The sequence below is a fragment of the Homo sapiens genome, chromosome 1 (genome assembly GCF_000001405.40).
Source record: "Homo sapiens chromosome 1, GRCh38.p14 Primary Assembly".
Taxonomy (NCBI): domain Eukaryota; kingdom Metazoa; phylum Chordata; class Mammalia; order Primates; family Hominidae; genus Homo; species Homo sapiens.
Genome location: NC_000001.11, coordinates 179,228,323 through 179,244,588, shown reverse-complemented (window position 1 = coordinate 179,244,588; position 16,266 = coordinate 179,228,323). Strand labels below are relative to the sequence as shown.

The 16,266-nt window shown below is 44.0% G+C and overlaps 1 protein-coding gene across 8 annotated transcripts in view, besides 2 other annotated features; it reads left to right on the top strand.

Moving 5' to 3' along the window:
• Positions 14,862-15,618: an enhancer, noted in NCBI's record as "H3K27ac hESC enhancer chr1:179198106-179198862 (GRCh37/hg19 assembly coordinates)". NCBI's record gives its function as "activates a minimal SCP1, AML or CMV promoter by ChIP-STARR-seq in primed H9 embryonic stem cells {active_cell/tissue: H9 hESC(primed)}" and the evidence as "EXISTENCE:reporter gene assay evidence [ECO:0000049][PMID:30033119]".
• ABL2 (ABL proto-oncogene 2, non-receptor tyrosine kinase) overlaps positions 14,912-16,266 on the top strand; it is a 130,348-nt gene continuing 128,993 nt past the window's right edge. For all 8 annotated transcript variants that reach the window (XR_921765.2, XR_007058798.1, XR_921764.4 and 5 more), the window contains exon 1: positions 14,912-15,348. Coding sequence is in view for 5 of the 8 variants with exons in the window: in NM_001168238.2 (NP_001161710.1) it covers positions 15,192-15,348 (157 nt within the window). In the remaining 3 variants the exon portion in view is untranslated. The remainder of the gene's footprint in view (positions 15,349-16,266) is intronic.
• Positions 14,997-15,406: a silencer, noted in NCBI's record as "silent region_1588". NCBI's record gives its function as "represses an Ori minimal core promoter by ATAC-STARR-seq in GM12878 lymphoblastoid cells {active_cell/tissue: GM12878}" and the evidence as "EXISTENCE:reporter gene assay evidence [ECO:0000049][PMID:35858748]".

The window sequence follows — 16,266 nt, the reverse complement described above, 5'->3', positions numbered from 1 at the left end:
GAGAATGGCATGAACCTGGGAGGCGGAGCTTGCAGCAAGCTGAGATTGCACCACTGCACTCCAGCCTGGGTGACAGAGTGAGACTCTGTCTTAAAAGTAAAAAATAAAATAAAATAAAATAAAGAACAGGGCCAGGAGTGGTGGCTTACGCCTGTGATCCTAGCACTTTGGGAGGCCAAGGTGGGCGGATCACCTGAGGTCAGGGATTTGAGACCAGTGTGGCCAACATGGTGAAACCCCATTTCTACTAAAAATACAAAAATTAGTCAGGTGTAGTGACGGGCGCCTGTAGTCTCAGCTACTTGGGAGGTTGAGGCAGGAGAATCACTTGAACCTAGGAGGTGGAAGTAGCAGTGAGCCGAGATTGCGCCGCTGCACTCCAGCCTGGGCGACAGAGTGAAACTTTGTCTCAAAAAAATAAAAATAAATAAATAAATAAACAGCAGGTATTTACTGCTCCCAGCTCTGGAGACTAGGAAGTCCAAGATCGTGGGGCCAGTAGATTTAGTGTCTGATGAGGGCTCACTCTTGGCTTCATAGATGGCATCTTCTTGTTGTGTCCTCATGTCGCAGAAGAATCCAGCAGCTTACTCAGGCCCTTTATAAGGTGTTAATCACATTAATGAGGGCTAGTCTTCATGACCTAATCATCCCCTAAAAGCACCACCTCTTAATACTATTGCACTGGGGATTAGGTTTCAACATAGGAATTTTGGAGGACACAAACATTCAGGGCACAAGTAAACAAATCATACATTGTCTTCGTCCATATTGTACTGCTGTAACAGGATACCACAGACTGGGTAATTTATAATAAACAGAAACTTATAGACTCACAGTTCTAGAGTCTGGGAAGTTCAAGATCAAGCAGCCAGCATGTTCCGAGGGCCTTCTTGCTGCTTTGTCTCATGGCAGAAGGTGGAAGGGCAAGGAGTAAGAGTGAGAGAGCAACAGGGTGTCGAACTTGGTTTTATAACAAACCCACTCTTGATAACTAACCCACTCTCACAATAATGACAATAATTACCTCCTATTAGGCCCTATCTCTCAACACTGTAGCACTGGGGATTAAGTTTACAACACATAAGCTTTAGGGGACACATTCAAATCATAGCATTCTGCCCCTGGCCCCCCAAATTCATATTTTTCTCACAATACAAAATACATTCATTCCATCCCAATAGTCCCCAATGTCTAACTTTTTCCAGCATCAACTCAAAAATCCAAAGTCCAGAGTCTCACCTAAATCACATGTGAGTGGGACTCAAGGCAAGATTCATCCTGAGGTAAATTCCTCTCCCACTGTGAGCCTGTAAAATTAAAAAACTAAGTGTTTTCAAAATACAATGATGGGACAGGCATAGAATAGACATTCCCATTCCAAATTGGAGAAATGGGCAAGAAGAAAGGGCTAACTGGTCCCAAGTAAGTCCAGAATCCAACAGGGAAAACAACATTAATTATGAAAGCTAGGGAATAATCTCCTTTGACTCCATGTCCTGCATCCGGGGCACATGGAGACAGGGGTTGGGCTCCCAAGGCCTTGGGCAGTAACTCGCATGTACTGGAGTCTTGTACCTGCAGAATTTATTGTTGTTGTTGTTTCTGTGACTCAAGGCATCACTTGATAGACTGTAGAAAGTGTGACTGTGACTGTTGGTGGCTGGGCGCAGTGGCTTATGCCTGTAATCCCAGCACTTTGGGAGGCTGAGGTGGGCGGCTCACTTGAGGTCAGGAGTTCAAGACCAGCCTGGCCAACATGGTGAAACCCCATCTCTATAAAAATACAAAAATTAGCTGGGTGTGGTGGCGCGTGCCTTGTAATCCCAGCTACTCGGGAGGCTGAGGCACGAGAATCACTTGAACCTGGGAGGTGGAGGTTGCAGTGAGCTGAGATCACACCACTGCACTTCAGCCAGAGCAACAGAGCAAGACTCCATCTCAAAAAAAAAAAAAAAAAAAGAAAGTGTGACTGTTGGTAGGACCTGTCAGAATCAGCTCTCTATTATGAGGGGCCAACCCATCTGTCATCAAATTTCCCCTTTTGTTTGCCAACAAGACATTTAGTTGCAACCTCAGAATCAGGAAATATAACTTTATTCAGTTTCATAGAGCAATCAAGGATTGCATGCTAATCCGTGTTAGTTTTTCTGATATGCCCAGATCAATTCACCAGCAACTGTTTTAGACAGAGCATTGGTGTCTTTTGAGGAGATGCAAAAATTTTTCATTGATGCAGAAGTACTTACCTTTCTTATTCTGGACTTGTGAGATTTAGTCTTAAAGTTAGTACTTTCACTGTCCAACTCCAAATTATTTCCTGCAAATTGTGTGGTACGCTGTTTTGGTTATTTGCCTCTTTAATCCTGTTATATGGGTCCTTCTATCTATATTGCATTAAAACAACACAATAGCTTAGTCTTGTTTTGCAATGATGTCAAGGTAATGCTGGCATAGGTATTGTAATTGTTCTTTTTCATTATTTGAACTTTTAGAAAACATGGTCACAATATTAAAAGTTAAATAGTACTATCTGCATACAAAACACAATCGTTAATCCACAGGCAAAGTCAAAGACAGAATATTACAAAACACATAAATAACCCACTTCAACTGCATCCCTTGGAGTAAGGCAACAATGGAAGATCTGTTCTTGTGAACTGCTAACCAGAGTGACCAACATCAGCCTGGGGAACTGAGACGGCAGCAGCAACCAGCGACTACAGAAGGCAGATAATTTATGTTGAATCTATTTGACACTAACAATAGTGTTGCTTTCAGCCTCTATTTTGGGGGCCATCACAAGGCTTTTGCACTGGGACTTTTCCTGTTGCTGGCAAGGGGCTTCCCAGGACCTGGGATTTTCATGCTGGGCCACTCCTTTCACATAATTGCCTTTCTCACTCTATTCAGATGCTCACACAAGATTGTTGCTCTGTGGGGACGCTCTATTCAGCCTACTTGGACTCTAACATGTCTTCCTCCTGGCTGATTGTCCTCCCAACATGGATTCTCCTTTACCCTGCCTGGGCTGTCCCTCGATAAGTGTAGTGCTTAACACACAAAAAGATATAGACTAGAAGAGAATAGAAAATAGCAGTATATCACAGTAAAAGTAAGGATTATAGCCAGGCACAGTGTCTCATGCCTGTAACCCCAACACTTTGGGAGGTAAGGTGGGAGGATCCTAGGAATTTGAGACCAGCCTGGGCAACATAGGGAGACCCTGTCTCTAAAAAAATTTAAAAATTGACCAGGCGCGGTGGCTCACGCCTGTATTCCCAGCACTTTGGGAGGCCGAGGTGGGCAGATCACCCTGAGGTCAGGAGTTCGAGACCAGCCTGCCCAACATGGAGAAACCACGTCTTTACTAAAAATACAAAAATTAGCCAGGCGCGGTGGCTCACGCCTGTAATCCCAGCACTTTGGGAGGCCGAGGCAGGCAGATCACCCGAGGTCAGGAGTTCGAGACCAGCCTCAGTAACATGGTGAAACCCTGTCTCTACTAAAAATACAAAAACAGCTGGGTGTGGTGGCACCTGCCAATAGTCCCAGCTACTCGGGAGGCTGAGGCAGGAGAATCGCTTGAACCCGGGAGGCGGAGGTTGCGGTGAGCCGAGATGGCGCCATTGCACTCCAGGCTAGGCAACAAGAGTGAAACTCTGTCTCCAAAAAAACAAAAAAAACAAAAATTAGCTGGGCGTGGTGATGCGCATCTGTAATCCCAGCTACTCGGGCGGGACTCGGGAAGCTGAGGCAGGAGAATCTCTTGAACACAAGAGGCAGAGGTTGCTGTGAGCTGAGATCCCACCACTCCACTCCAGCCTAGGTGACAGAGTGAGACTCCATCTCAAAAAAAAAAAAAAAAAAAGAGTTTAAAAATTATCTGGCCATGGTGGTGCACACCTGTAGTCCCAGCTAGTTGGGAGGCTAAGGCAGGAGGAATTGCTTGAGCCTAGGAGGTCAAGGCTGCAGTGAGCTATGATCACACCATTGCAATCCAGTCTGGGTGACAGAGTAAGACTCTGTCTTAAAAAAAAAAAAATAGGGGATTGTTTCCTGAAATCCATTTTTTTTTTTTTTGAGACAGGGTCTTGTTATTTCTCCCAGGCCAGAGTGCGGTGGCACAATCATAGCTCACTGCAGTCTTGATCTCCTGGGCTCGGGGTATACTCTTACATTAGCCTCCCTAGTAGCTGGGACCACAGGCACACACCACCATGCCCAGCTAATTTTTCATTTTTTTGTAGAGATGAGATCTCACTATGTTGCCCAGGGTGGTCTCGCACTCCTGGGATCAAGCAATCCTCCCATCTCAGCCTCCCAAAGTGCTAGGATTATAGGTGTGAGCCAACATGGCCAGCCTCTAAAATTCTTAAAATTTGTTGTGTGTGTGTATATGTGTGTGTTAACTGCATTAACTATATTGCAATGTAAAATGTATTTCTTACTGTTGATAAAGGTAAAATAACATTTGAAAACCAGTATTTATAGTATGATCCCAATTTTGCTTTTAAAAAAGTGAGCCAACTCTTAACGGGGTAGTGAGGAAAGAATAAAGAAAAACTTTTACCTTTTTAATCTATGTTCTGTATTACTTTAATTCTTGTAACTAAGATACGTATTATTTACTTTAAAAAATTAACAAAAATGGGGGCCGGGCGCAGTGTCTTACGCCTGTAATCCCAGCACTTTGGGAGGCCCAAGCAGGCGGATCACCTGAGGTCAGGAGTTCAAGACCAGCCTGACCAACATGGTGAAACCCCATCTCTACTAAAAATAAAAAATTAGCTGAGTGTGGCGGTGCATGCCTGTAATCCCAGCTATTTGGGAGGCTGAGGCAGAAGAATCGATTGAAACTGGGAGGTGGAGGTTGCAGTAAGCCAAGATTGCTTCATTGCACTCCAGCCTGGGCAAAAAAGTGAAACTCTGTCTCAAAAAAAATTAACAAAAATGGGCTGGGCACGGTGGCTCACACTTGTAGTCTTAGCACTTTGGGAGGCTGAGGCAGGTGGATCACCTGAGGTCAGGAGTTTGAGACCAGTCTGGCCAACATGTTGAAACCCCGTCTCTACTAAAAATACAAAAATTAGCCAGGTGTGATGGCACACATCTTCCACACCTTTAATTCCAGCTACTGGAAAAGCTGAGACAGGATAATCACTTGAACCTGGGAGTTGCAGTGAGCGAGTTCTTGCCACTGCACTCCAGCCTGGGCAATAGTGAGACCCTGTCTCAAAAACAAACAAACAAACAAACAAACAAACAAACCAAAAACCACAAAGGCCAGGCATGGTGGCTCACGCCTGTAATCCCAACACTTTGGGAGGCCAAGGCAGGCGGATCACCTGAGGTCAGGAGTTTGAGACCAGCCTGGCCAACATGGTGAAACCCTGTCTCTACTAAAAATACAAAAAATTAGCCGGGCCTACTGGCACACGCCTGTAATCCCAGCTACTCGGGAGGCTGAGGCAGGAGAATCGCTTGAACCTGGGGGGCAGAGGTTTTAGTGAGCCGAGATCACGCCACTACTCTCCCGTCTGGGTGACAGAGCAAAACGCACTCTCAAAAAAAAAAAACAAAAACCCAAAAAAATGTAAATATGTGTATATATGCACAAACAAAAGAAAATAACGCTTAAAGGAAAAAAAAGAAAAACGCCAAAAATACATACATCTGAGTGGTGAGAGTATGGAGAACTTTTTCCTTCTTTATACTTTTCTGCTTTTGCAAATTTCCGAAAATGAGAATTTATTACCTGATCATTTTCAATTTAAATTTCCAAAAGAAATATTAGAGTGGCATGTACCTGTAGTCTGGCTATTTGGAAGGCTGAGGCAGGAAGATCACTTGAGCCTAAGAGTCCAGGCTGCAATGAACTATAACTGTGTCACTAAACTCCAGCCTAGGTGACAGAATGAAACACCATTCCTCAAAAAAAAAAAAAAAAAATTAAAGAGAAATATGAGGGGGTCCACCTCAGTGACCTCATTTTAACTTGATTACTTCCGTAAGAACTCTATTTCCAAATATGGTCACATTGTGAAGTATTAGGGGTTAGGACTTCAACACATGAAGTTCGTGGGAGGCACAATTCAGCCCACCCACAACACCAAGTTTGCTCATAGCATGGTGGTCCCAGTGCTAAGAGAGCAAGAGCAAACGCTGCAAAGACTCCTGAGTCCTCAGCTACAAAACTCTTACAACCTTCCTTCCACCATATTCTATTAGTCAAAGCAAGTCACAAGGCCAGTACTGATTCAAAGGGTTTAAAGGGTGGGGAAATAGATTTACCTCTTGATAAAAAGACCAGCAAGGCTGGGCGCGGGTGACAGTGCAAGACTCCATCTCAAAAAAAAAAAAAAAAAAAAAAAAAAAGACCAGCAAAATATTATGGCCATGTTTTCAACCTATCACAGGTCTTTAATGTTTTTTGTGTGTGTTTTTTTCGAGACAGAGTTTCACTCTTGTTGCCCAGGCTGGGGTGCAATGGTGCGATCTCAGCTTACGGCAACCTCCGCTTCCCGGGTTCAAGCGATTCTCCTGCCTCAGCCTCCCAAGGAGCTGGGATTACGGGCATGCACCACCACACCTGGCTAATTTTGTATTTTTTTTAGTTAAGACGGGGTTTCACCATGTTGGTCAGGCTGGTCTCGAACTACTGACCTCAAGTGATCCACCTGCTTCAGCCTCCCAAAGTGTTAGGATTACAGTCAGGAGCCACCATGCCCAGCCCTTTTTTTTTTTTTTTTTTTTAATAATTAACTAGCTATAAGGCCTTGGGGTATGACAAAAGTATAGATTCTTAGAAACAGAAGGGACCCAGGCCAATTTTAAGTCCCACTACTTAATACATTTCCTCTGCCCTCTGCCACCCCCAGCTCCTCTTCTTTTCCCATTTGATGAGATGTTCCTGGATAAGCTCATCAAGCCCCTGTGTTCCTGCTTAGGTTGTTTCCTCTCACTTGAAAGCCAGTATCTCCACCCCCACCCCATCTTTTTATTGAAGTATAGTGTTCATACAGAAAAGTGCATATGCTTACTCACTAAATATGTACAACAATTATGTTCCGATTAAAAATAATGTAAACAGAAAAGTATTTATGTGTGTACATTTGACCCCTGAACAACACGGGTTTGAACTACAAGGGTGTAGTTATATGCAGAGTTTTTAAATCAAAGGCGGATGACTTCAAGGGATGTGAAATATGCACATACATAAGTTAACTTTTTGTATAGGAGGGTTCTGCAGGGCACACTGGGCAACTTGAGTATGCACGAATTTTGGTATACATGGGGGGGTCCTAGAACCAATCCCTCATGTATAGAAGGACATGTATAGAAGGACAACTGTATATATATATATATATATATATATATATATATATATATATATATATATGCATGCATACACACACATATAGAAATCACATAAAATATATCTCTCTCTCATAAGTTTACTGCTTGACAAATTTTGCAAGGTAAACACTCCATTAGCATCTGAAAGCAGAACATTACCAGTACCTCAGAAGCCCTATTCATGTCTGTGTCCAAATTTCTTCGTTTTAAAAGGGCACCAGTTATACTGGATGACTTCACTTTAACTTGATTACTTCTGTAAAGACCCTATTTCCAAAGAAGTTCACTTTCTGTGGTGCTAGGAGTTAGGGCTTCAACATATCTTTTTGGGGGACACAATTCAACCCATTTAATGGGTCATATTAGAATTCAAGACATCTGAGATTTGATGAAATCATGGTTATAATCCATTTTTTGCTTAAGCTAGTTTGAGTTGATTATCTGGTATAATCACAATGTAACCAATACAATCAATACAAATGCTCTGGTGCAACCATGTTTGCTTAATGTGAATTACTTACACATAATTAGTAAACTGGAGAATGGTGTCAGTAAAACAAGTAAGTTGTGTTACTTCATTTGGACTTTTCTCAGCATGTTAATGTTTTGAAGTGATATGTAATAAACATCCTCACAATTAGAGAAAGCTTTTAGCAATTTATGAAGAAGACTTAAAAAAAACATAATTGAACCATGCAGAAGTGCCATTGTATTTATTGTAAATACAAGTGCCTTCCTTCAGTGAATAAGCAACTAGTTCAGTGGCTTCAGGAACCACCAAAGTTTCTATTAAGCTATCTAGAAAGCTGCCAAGAGCAGATGAAGAAGCTGCAAAGACAATGTCCTGTGTTCTCCTTTTAGAGGGTTTTCCAGACCTTCCTCAGGATCCTTGTTTCCTCTCCACTTCATAGGTGCATCTCTTGTGACTCTGCTTTCTGCCAAAAAGGGCAAGCTAAATTTGTTTCTCAATGTTCCCTAAAATGCAGTGCTCTTCCCATTTTGCTAAGCTAACTCCTACTTATCTCTTACCTCTTTCCCTTTGCCTGCTCCTGGGAGAAGTTCCACATCTCCTCAACTACCTCACCTTCAAATGGTTATACGTTTCCACAGTAACCCCTTATCCCCCTATCAACACTTACTACACGTTATTGTAATTACATGTTTATGGATGTCTTCCTCAGTAGAGTATAAGCGGGTAGGTCTTATTCACTACTGTATCTCAGTAATTAGTACAGCGCCTGGAATACAGAAAGCGCTCATTAAATATGAATTAAATATGCTGGGCATGGTGGCTCATGCCTGTAATCCCAGCACTTTGGGAGGCAGAGGTGAGCGGATTACTTGAGGCCAGGAGTTCAAGATCAGCCTGGCCAACATGGTGAAACCCCATCTCTACTACAAATACAAAAAAATTAGCTGGTCGTGTTGGTGGGAGCCTGTAATCCCAGCTACTCAAGAGGCTGAGACAGGAGAATTATTTGAACCCGCAAGGCGGAGGTTTCAGTGAGCCGATATGGTGTCACTGTGCTCTACCCTGGGCCACAGAGCAAGACTCCATCTCAAATAATGATAATAATTTAATAAAATAGAACATTAGAAATCTTAATTTTCTATCTTTTGATAATTTGGTTGTAGTAATTTGCTAGGGCTGCCATAACAAAGTACCACAGATTGGGTGGCTTAAACAACAGAAATTTATTTTGTTACAGTTCTGGAAGCTGGAAGTCCAAGATCAAGGTTGGTTTCTCCTGAGACATCTCCTTGGTCTGTAGATGGCCACCTTCTCCCCGTATTTTCACAAGGTCTTCCCTCTGTGTGTGTCTGTGTCTAGATTTCCTCTTCTTATAAGGACACCAGTCCTATTGGGTTAGGGAACACCCTAATGGATTCATTTTAACTTAGTCACTTCTTCAAAGACCCTATCTCCAAAGACAGTCACATTCTGAGGTACTGCAGGTTAGGACTTCAATATTTGAATTTTGTGGTGGTGGGGCACCCAATTCAGATCATAAGGGCCTTATGGAGGAGAGCTGAGGCATTCCAACCGGCAGCAGCACCAATGGTCAGACATGCACATTCAGTCATCATGTACCTTCTAGCCCAGCCAGTGCTGTTACATGAACCAAGGTAAGATCAGCAGAACTGTCCAGCCAATCCATAGAAATGCAGGAAGTAATAAATCACTGCTGTTTTAAGCCACTAGGTTTTGTGGGGTGTTTTGTTATGCAGCAGTAGAGAACTGAAACAACCCATTTCACATCAGTAATAAACTAGGCCCACATCAATAATTAACTATCACTACACTACAGTTAGTGATAGGCTACATGTTAAATGGATTGTTTAGTCAGCTATTTCATTACCTTTGAAAGGGAAATGAGTAATAACTTATTAATTTTAAATGAATAGATATTATTGCTACTGGTAACATTTATACAGCACTTGGCCAGTTGTTCGAAATAGTCTCCTAATAATTTATAAGGTTTTTTAAATCAAAGAAATGTTGAATCATACACTCTTGGGGCTAAAAGGAACAAGAGGTCATTTAATCTGTCTCCCTACTTTCAAAGAGAATGACTAATTCTGTGCCAGCCAGATAGGAATCTTCTAACTCCTCCTCCTCCTCGTTATCTCATCCAAAAAGACTTTTAAAGTGTCAATCTGTAAATGGAACTGTATTTGGCACTCTATAGGTCTTTAAAGATTTAATACAACAATGCAGAGACAAATCACATAAACAAAGTCCAAAGAACTGTGTACATAAACAGTTTAAGAAAAATGCTGGCCAGGCTCTGGTGGCTCGCACCTGTAATCCCAGCACTGTGGGAGGCCAAGGCAGGTGGATTACGAGGTGAGGAGTTCAAGACCAGCCTGGCCAAGATGGTGAAACCTCATCTCTACTAAAAATACAAAAATTAGCCAGGTGTGGTGGTACACGCCTGTAATCTCAGCTACTCAGGAGGCTGAGGCAGAAGAATCGCTAGAACCTGGGAGGCGGAGGCTGCAGTGAGCCGAGATCATGCCACTGCACTACAGCCTGGGCAACAGAGTGAGATTCTGTCTCCAAAAAAAAAAAAAAGAAAGAAAAGAAAAAGGAAAATGCTATACGTAAAATTACAACAAAATTTTTTTCTCTCAATTTATCTACATAAACATTTTCAGCCCACGTAGATAAATATAGATAGATAAACATAACTATATAAACATGCATATATGCAAGAAAATAAAAGATTTGGGGAAACATGATAGCTTTCAAATATGTGAAAGATTTCATGTAGAATAAAGATTATATTTGTTCTGTGTAGCTACATGGTAGAATTAGAACTGGGGTGAAACAGGTGGAAGTTTCAGGGGAACATTTTTCAGTTTATCTTTAGGAAGAACTTTTTTTTTGAGACTGAGTCTGGCTCTGTCACCCAGGCTGGAGTGCAATGGTGTGATCTCAGCTCACTGTAAGCTCCGCCTCCTGGGTTCATGCCATTCTCCTGAATCAGCCTCCTGAGTAGCTGGGATTACAGGCGCCTGCCACCACGCCCGGCTAATTTTTTGTATTTTTGGTAGAGATGGGGTTTCACCATGTTAGCCAGGATGGTCTCGATCTCCTGACCTTGTGATCCGCCCACTTTGGCCTCCCAAAGTGCTGGGATTACAGGCGTGAGCCACTGCGCCTGGCCCAGGAAGTATGTTTTAATAATTAGAACCTTTTGAAAGAAATGGATACCCTCACTGGAATTACTGCAGAGAGGATTCCAGATTAGCCTACATGACCTCTAAGTTTCTTTCCAACTCTATGACACTTGAGTCATGTGTCAAAACAAAACAGCCGGGTGCGGTGGCTCACGCCTGTAATCCCAGCACTTTGGGAGGCCAAGGCAGATGGATCACAAGGTCAGGAGATCGAGACTATCCTGGCTAACACGGTGAAATCCCATCTCTTCTAAAAAACAAAAAATTAGCCGGGTGTAGTGGTGGTCGCCTGTAGTCCCAGCTACTCGGGAGGCTGAGGCAGGAGAATGGTGTGAACCCGGGAGGCGGAGCTTGCAGTGAGCCGAGATCGCGCCACTGCACTCCAGCCTGGGGGACAGAGCGAGACTCCATATCAAAAACAAAAAACAAAAAACAAAAAACCATATTTGAGGGATGTAGAGGAAGGTAAGCGAATTTTATAACGAAAGAATTATTACCAGTTGTGGTTAAGGCCTGTACTGAATAGAGTCCGAGGAAACTGTTAGGTCTGTATTAATAAGTCTGAGGTTCTCTTATCAAGGAGGCAGGATCTGAATAGAATACTGAAGAGGACAGTAGAATCCTGTAAGGGAGTCACTCGAGACTTATATTAGGGAGAATATAATTATTGCAAAACTCATAGCTAAAAGGGATACATCTCAGAAATAGGCTAATTGGATAAAGTATGTATGCCTGCCATAGGAAAGGTGGAGGTTGGAGGAACAGGAGATGGAAGAACATTAGGCAATTATAATCCAGTTATCCTGGAAAATAACTTCGAAACACTAGGTGAAACGTTTATTTTGTTTATTTATTTATTTATTTATTTATTTTTGAGACAGAGACTCCCTCTGTCACCTAGGCTGGGGTGCAGTGGCGCAATCTCCTGTCACTGCAACTTCCGCCTCCTGGGCTCAAGCAATTCGCCTGCCTCAGGTTCCCCAGTAGCTGGGATTACAGGCACGCGCCCCCACGATTGGCTAGTTTTTGCATTTTTAGTAGAGACGGGGTTTCACCATATTGGCCTGACTGGTCTTAAACTCCTGACCTCAAGTGATCCGCCCACCTTGGCCTCCCAAAGTGCTGGGATTACAAACATGAGCCACTGTGCCCGGCCCATTAGGTGAAAATTTTAGACTTAAGACTTTGTACGTAATGAATGAGAGGGAGAGTGTGGTCAAAGCAATGAGAGAAGCAGTTTCTTTGAGTGAGTTGCTTGGTGCTAAAGGTGAGGAATCTCTAGGAAGAAAGGGCTAGTAGCGGGAGAAACCAGCGCAGAGATGCCTAAGCTAACACTGTGTCTTACATAACGCTGTTTATATAGATGAAGGGAAGAGGTAGATATGAGAGATACTGTAAAACTGTAAAAAGTATGGCAATAGCCTAGAAATGCAGACTGGTGAAGTCAGGGATTGGTGAGGCATTACTCACAAGCTCCTTCCTTCTGGAGAGAGTGGTGTTGCTCCTGTGATAAGGATGATGAGGATGAAGAGTATCTGTGTCTTCAGCACGCCTTACTGCTGTTGGTGATGTGTCTGATCTTTTATGCTGGCCTCTGGCCATTGCTCAAATTTATATATATATATATATATAAAATTTGAAAAAGTTAGGCTTGTAAAACCTAAAACCATTATGTTTTTTGTATTAATAGTATATGCATATATGACACCAGTTATATGCCAAATACTGTTTTAAGTACTATACATATATATTGACTAATTTAATTTTCACAATATTCCTATAAGGTAGATACTATTTGTTATCATCATCAGTTTACAGATAATGTACTGAGACACAAAAAGGTTATGTACTTTGCCCAGATCAAATAGTCCATAAGTATCAGGGCCAAGTTATGAACCCAAGCAGTCTGGCTTCAGAGCCCCTGCCCTTAGCCACTGCACTCTACTGCAGGCTGAGCAGCCCTTATCAGAAATGTTCGGACCACAAGTGTTTCAGATTTGGGAATATTTACACACACATAATGAGATATCTTGGGCATGCGACCCAAGTCTAAACACAAAATTCATTTATGTTTCATATACACCTTTATACACATAGCTTGAATGCAATTTAATACAATATTTTAAAAATTTTGTGCATGAAACAAAGTTTATGTTAAGTACTTACGTGAAATGTTCCACCTCTGGCATCATATTGGTGCTCAAAAAATTTCGAATTTTGCAGCATTTTGGATTTTCAGATTTGAGATGTTCAACCCATATATTCATCTATCTTTATATAGTATGCATGAATTAGCAGAGAAACCAAACCATTATCCCCAAATTAAAATTTTCTCCCATAATAAAAATCAAACAGTAAACCAAATTCCGGCTCTGTGACATCTTTATCCCTTTCGAATGAATTTTTTTCAGTAGTTGCAAACACTGGGAATTAGAAGAAAAGACAGGTATTTTAAACACAGGGAAACTTTAATCCAAATGGAAAGTTCATATTTTATCCAGTGTTTACACATAGTGTTTCCGTTCCCATTTTGGAGTTAATTTCAGTTATTTCTGGCTACACCCTAGATGGCAATGGAATAATTTCATAGTGCTTTTACAACAGGCAATATCTACGTCAGTGGATGGTTCATCTAAGGTCAACCTGGTTCAGGAAAGATATGCAAAGGAGAGCTTCATCCACCTCTTCTCCCAACCCTACATTTCCAGTGGTTGTTTTGTTCCTTCTTTGCAGTGGCTCCCGTCCTGTCTAATTTAAGCAAAATTTCAGTGTAGTACCTCCATTAACTGATACTTTTTATAAAGCAAATTGGGAAGCCAAAAGAATAACAGGAGAATGATCAAGATTTGAGAATTAAAAAAAATTGAATTAAGATGCAAGTAAACACAGTGGGAGAGGGGGATGGCGAGTCAATTGTATATAGTATATGTGTATGTATAAAACGCTTCTTTTCTGCCTCATTCACTCTCTTTAGACTGCATAAGCTAAAATGAGTAAGTTCTGACTCAGAAACAGGGTCAAAGATATATATTTTTTCTCCTTTGTCATCAAAAGAAGACCTGACCACGTGCACAGTGTATAAAGGATGCCAGTGGGAAGATTAACTTTACTGTCAGGCATTGTAAGGAAACAGAAACTCACATATGGTGAGATGGTAAAGGAGTTCAAGAGGAATTCATGGTAATATAATATGAGGAATGGGGCTACAATTGCGTCCCCAATGAGACTATAGAAGGCACACAATCCAGGCCAGTGCGATTTAACATCATGAAATAATCTCCAAAAATTAAAATCAAATAAGGTAGCATTTTACTCTCTTCTTGTAAATTTTATACCATTTTAATTTTTACTGGAGGCCTGCTGCTGACAAGGGTGTTTAAAAGAGATCCCCCTGGGTATTTTAGAGCTCCTTAACTGGATGGCAAGGACCAAATAAATGCCTTGTGCTTTTCTGCCCCACCTGTGCCTGCACCTGAGCTGCGCACGCGGTGGCACTGAGCCCTCGACTCACTCATTTGACAGGTGGAGGTGGGATGGGGAAGGCCGGAGACCGACCAACCCCAAAGGCGGTAGCGTGTGGAGCCGAACGCGGGAGGGGGTCGGCTGAGGCGGATTGAGGGGGGGGACGCCGAGGTGCGGCGACAGGACGCGGAGGACGAAAGACCTCAAGCAGCGGTGGCCGGCAAATGAGGTGGGCACTGGGGGACCCACCCTGCGAGGAGGCGGGGGCGGGGACGGGGGGCGCGGCGCGGCAGGGCGGGGCGGCAGCCGGGAAGCCCTCCTTCCCCGCGGCGGAGGTGACTGGCGGGCGGGGGGCGGGGGGCGGGGGGCGGGAGACGCTCTGTCCCACGCTTTCCCAGCGCTCGGTGGTTTAAAGATGGCGGCGGCGGTGGCGGCGGCGGCGGCGGCGGCGTTGGGGGCGCGGAGCCGCGACAGGAGGAGGGAAAAGCAGAATCTGTGAGTCGCCTGGAGGCAGCGCGGCGGCTGCCGTGAGGAGGCCGGGTGCGGAGCCGCCGGTGGCCCAGCCACTCAGGGCCAGGGCCTGGGCTGGGAGGGAGAGACCGGAGCAGCGCCAGGAGCCCGAGGCCGGAGCCGAGGAGGAATGTGACCAGGGGTCGGCGGGGGCGCGGGAGTACGCGAGAGCAGGGATGGGGCAGCAGGTGGGCCGCGTCGGGGAAGCTCCGGGGCTCCAGCAGCCTCAGCCCCGCGGGATCCGGGGCAGCAGTGCAGCCAGGCCCTCCGGCCGCAGGCGGGACCCGGCGGGGCGCACCACAGAGACCGGCTTCAATATCTTCACCCAGCATGGTGAGTGTGTCTGGGAGCCGGCATGAGAGCGTGGGGGAGGCCGGGGGTGGGGTCGGGGCGGGGTGGGTGGCGGACGGGCTGCCCGAGGGGTCGGAGGGTGGAAGGTGCCTGAGAGTGGGGGCGGAATCCGCTGCCATCTGGTCCAGTCCTGGGAGGCGAGTCACACCCCTCCCCCCTCGCGTCTCTAGCCTGGCTGGCAGATCCCGGGGGCGGAGAAGGAAAGAGAAGTGGGTTTGGGGACCCTGGATGGTCTGTCCTCTACTCTGGGACGGGACTATGCGGCTGCAGAAAGAAAGTGAATGGCAGCTTCAGGAGAGGGAAGGATGAAGGGCAGTATTAGCTCAGTCCCAGAGGTGGGAGCATAAACCCGTCGTTAGTGAAGGGGAAATGGGTTGTATCCTAAGGGATTGGGAAATGGGAACTGAATTTCAGGAGATTGTGGAGTACAAGGTATGTGTTTACGTTAGGTGATGAGCAGTGTCAGGATAGTGAACTGTGGACAGTGTCAAATGCTTTTCTGTAGGGAAGATGAAGTTAGCATCATCTTATCACTTTTGACATGCTTTTGTGGTTTATTTTGTTTTGTATTTCGTTTTTACTAGAAATGAAAGGCTTTGCCAAAGCCTCTGTACTATGCTTCAGAGTAGGACACACAATTCTGAGATTGCTGGCAAGGGCTAGAGGTTGGTGGGCATGGTTAGGACGTCAGTCAGGATATGAACAAGTTTTCCTTTGTAGTGTGTGCGTGTGCCCATATACATACATACATGTATGTATGCTCCCTGTAGTCTGAAACCTATTATTTTGATCTCATTGTCAATGTATTTTTAGAATAGTTGTCTCCAAACTTTTTTTGTCTTGTTTTTTTGTTTTGTTTTTGTTTTTGTTTTTTTTGAGACAGAGTCTCGCTTTGGTCCC